General features: G+C 52.3%; 1 annotated feature.

The window, feature by feature from the left end:
- Positions 3,108–3,929: an enhancer, noted in NCBI's record as "H3K4me1 hESC enhancer chr7:155382158-155382978 (GRCh37/hg19 assembly coordinates)". NCBI's record gives its function as "activates a minimal SCP1, AML or CMV promoter by ChIP-STARR-seq in primed H9 embryonic stem cells {active_cell/tissue: H9 hESC(primed)}" and the evidence as "EXISTENCE:reporter gene assay evidence [ECO:0000049][PMID:30033119]".

The following is a 3,929-nucleotide window of genomic DNA, read 5'->3' on the forward strand; positions in this document are numbered from 1 at the left end:
AATTTTGTATATCCTGGAGTTAACTGACTTTTTTCCTCATTCGCTTAATTTTCTATACCCACCTTAAATTCATATCCAGCTTTTCCGGCAGAGCTCAACCTCCCTCTCAGGGTAGTAAAGCACCCCTTGATTAGCTGAACCAGGCACTTCCCCATCAGCTCCCCCATGTCCTGGATTCCATGCCTCCCTTCTTGTTTACTCCCCTCTTTAAATGGAACAAAATCTCCAGGAGCTTCAAAAAAAGGGTGAAGATTTTTTTTTTGAGGCAGGTTTCACTATGTTGCCCAGGCTGGACTCCAATTCCTGGGCTCAAGCGATCCTCCTGCCCCAGCCTCCCAAGTAGCTGGGACTAAAGGCACGCACCACCACACCACAGTGAAGATACTTTTTGAGACCTTATAAAATTATAAATATTCCACTCTCATACCTGATTGAGGATTTACTGGGTAGGGGATTCCTGGTGGGAAGTCACGTTCCTTCTGAATTCCAAAGGCTTATCATGGAATGTGACCTTCTAGCTTGTGCTTGAAAAGGTGTGGAGCCATGAGAATGCCCCCCAATGCCTCCACCCCCACACCTGCTCCTCCACCCACCACCTGCGCCTTCATCCTCCCACACATGCCTCCTTCTGCCCCCACACTTCCATCTGCACCTCGCATTTCCAGCTACCAGGAGCATGGTTGGCTCAGAGTCCCAGCTGCACTGCTCTGAAATCTGTGGCCACATCTGTGCAGCCAGGGTGGCACATGATGGGGTTCCAAGGCAGCGCTGTTCTTGGAGGTCCCTCGTCTCCTCTGATGGCCGTGATGGCATGAGGACCCCCATGACCTTGGGCTGCCACAGGCCACGGCTCTCCCCCGTCCTTCCTCCCATCTCCATCACTGGGGTGTCCTCCTTTGAGGCCCAAGAACCTTTCCCGCCCCATCTAATTCTTGTCCCGCAGCCGCGTCGCCCTGCGGGGTCCCTGCACACACAATTATGTCTTCTCATCCGCTTCTCACAGCAACCAGGTGGACCCAAAAGTCATATGTCATTTTCCTTTGAGTATTTGTTGGACCTGCTTTTTCTCTGGAAGCTTTTAGAAGCTTCTGTTCATCACTGGTGTCCTGAGACGTTGTGACAATATGCTTTTGTGTGAGTTTTTCCTCCCTTACGGGTCTGGGCGTTCAAGGGGCCTGTGTTTATTTCCCATGGCTGCTGAAATGAAGCACCGCGGGCTGGGGCTCATCCACACCTGAAATGCATTGCCTCCCAGCTCTGGGGCTGGGAGTCCCATTTCAAGGTGCCAGCAGGGTTGGCTCCTCTTGGAGGTCCCTGGGGAGGATCTGTCCAGGCCTCCTCCTGCCCCTGGGGTGGCTGTCCAGCCGTGGCGCTCCCTGGCTTGTGGCTGCTTCACTCCTATCTTCACACGGCGCTATCCCTCTGCAACCGTCTCTGTCCACATGTCCCCTTACAAGGATACCAGTCATATTAGACTGGGGGCCCGCCCTACTCCAGCAAGGCTTCATCTAAACCTGACTAATCACATCTGCAAAACCCGGTTTCCAAATAAGGTCACCCTGGGGTTAGGATTTCAGCATCTGAATGTGGAGCAGGGCACACAGTTCAACACAAACCAGGGGCCTTTCGATTTGGAAACTCAGGTCCTTCCACTGGCCTTGTGCTCCAGCCTCACTTTTGGGAGTTCCCACTTGTTGGATGTTGGGCTGCCACAGTGAGCGTCTGATTTTCTCGTCTTTTTCATGTATTTTTAAATGTTTTGTCCTTTTTTTCCTGGGAAATATCTTTTTGTTGTTGTTTTTAGAGGTGAGGGTCTCAAACTCCTAGACTCAAGCGATCCTCCAGCCTTGGCCTCCCGAGTAGCTGGGATTACAGGGCACTCACCATCGTGCTAGCTGGGAAATGTCTTCAGCATGTTTGGAGCTATTGAAATGTTAACACTCTGCCGTCCTGTGCTGTCACTGACAGGGCATCATCCCAAGCTTGTTTCGGGCCTGGCCCCACTCTCACCTCCGCTGGGTGCGGGTTTCAGCCACCCCTACTCCTTGTCGGTTTCCTTTTTATGGCCCCTGCTGGGGTTGTTTGCTTTATCTGTTTATGTTTTATACGTTCCTGTCTATAAGTGTTCACTTTTCTGTATGTTCATATCTGTTCCTGTCTGCATGTGTTCATATCCGTTCCTCTGTGTGTTCACATCTGTTTCTGTGTGTTCATATCCATTCCTGCCTATATGCGTTCCCATTTCCGTGTGTGCTCATATCCATTCCTGTGCTTTATGTGTTCCTGTCTGTGTTATATGTTCCTGTGTTTTATGTGTTCACGTGTGTTTTGTGTTCCTGTGTTTTGTGTGTTCCCGTGTTTTGTGTTCACACGTCTGTGTTTTGTTTTGTGTTCACATGTGTCTGTTTTGTGTTCACGTGTTTTATGTGTTCACACGTGTGTCTGTTTTGTGTTCACGTGTCTGTTTTATGTGTTCCTGTTTTGTGTGTTCCTGTATGTTTTGTGTTCATGTGTTTTATGTGTTCACACATGTGTCTGTGTGTGCTTTAGGTGTTCCTGTCTGCATGTTTTTATACGTGTTCCCTCACTTAGGAGGGCAGCTCTTTTGGGTCCACATGCTGAGCAGATGGGGCAGAGCCCAGGGGCTGTGGCATCCAACTGGCCACCAGTGCTGCAGGGGCCGTGCTGGACCTCAGAATGGAAGCAGAGCCAAGCTGCAGCGTGCCTCAGCTCACCACAGGACATCAACCTCATCGGCCCCTCAGGATCCAGTGGCCAGCCACTGGGTCAGAAGGCCCCAAAGTAAGGGGGATTGTGGCGGAAGCAGTTTAGGGGGCTGGGGATAAGCAGAGGGCTGAAAAGCCTCAGTGTCAGTGCCACAGAGAGGCAGGCAGGTGTGGCTCACTCCCAGTGCCTGAGGATGGGGACAGGGATGCAGAGGGCGTGGGAGCGGGAGGGCTATGGGAAAGTAGCCACTCCACCTGGAGCCGGCCCTCGTGATGCAGAGACACAGTGTGTGCTGTGAGCACAGGCGTGGGGCATGTCACTCGTATTTCTTTCTGAGAGGTCATAGTGACTGTGATGAAGTCAGGTGTCCAGAGGCACAAGCACAGCCAGGCAGTGCTTCCCATGGGACAATGAGCTCACAGATCGCGTCCTTCCAACTCCCACTGCGCTTATAATCTTCACACAGGCACTTAATTAGTCCCCAGTGGTTTCAAGTTCGGTAGCTGGGTCTGTTTACTGACAGTGTCTACCTCCATGCAGACGGGTCTGCTCCCGTCGGCTGCAGAGCCCCGTGCTGCCTGGCACCAGCCTCCATGGGGGCACAGCGTGAGGACCTGCCAGAGCGTCCAGTCTCTGGCTCCTCAAAGCCTGGTGGGACACCAGCAGCACCAGCATCGACTGGGCACCGAGAAATGCAGCTTCACAGGCCCCGCTATAGGCGGTTCTACACAGACAGGAGCCTGGCCGGGACTTCGCATACAGCTTCCAGTCTGGGAAGTGCTGGCCCCGCTCGTCCTGGGCTGGGAGTCGTATGGTACAGGGTGGACCTGCAACTCCCCTCCCTCCTCTGGACCTCAGCATCCTTCTGTGGGAGGTGAGTCTGTCCAAGCTGTCTTCCCAGGACCCTAACGGTCTGCGATAAACTGAAGGAGCCTCCGAACAGAGCAAGGAGAGCCTGCAAACATTTGCTTCTGTGCAGGGGCCCACCCGGGACCTAAGTGGACATAAAGTTGTAATTTCTTGCAACTTAATTATTTTATAGAATTTTAGAACTGGCAGATATCTCAGAGATCATGTACATTGCACCCTTGACTTTTTACACATGAAAGAACAGAGGGCTACATCGGTTATGTGGCTCATAAGAGGCCAGAGAAGCCATCGGCAGTGGTGAGAGCCTGGATATGCAAATGGACAACAGCCAG

The sequence above is a fragment of the Homo sapiens genome, chromosome 7 (assembly GCF_000001405.40).
Source record: "Homo sapiens chromosome 7, GRCh38.p14 Primary Assembly".
Taxonomy (NCBI): Eukaryota; Metazoa; Chordata; class Mammalia; order Primates; family Hominidae; genus Homo; species Homo sapiens.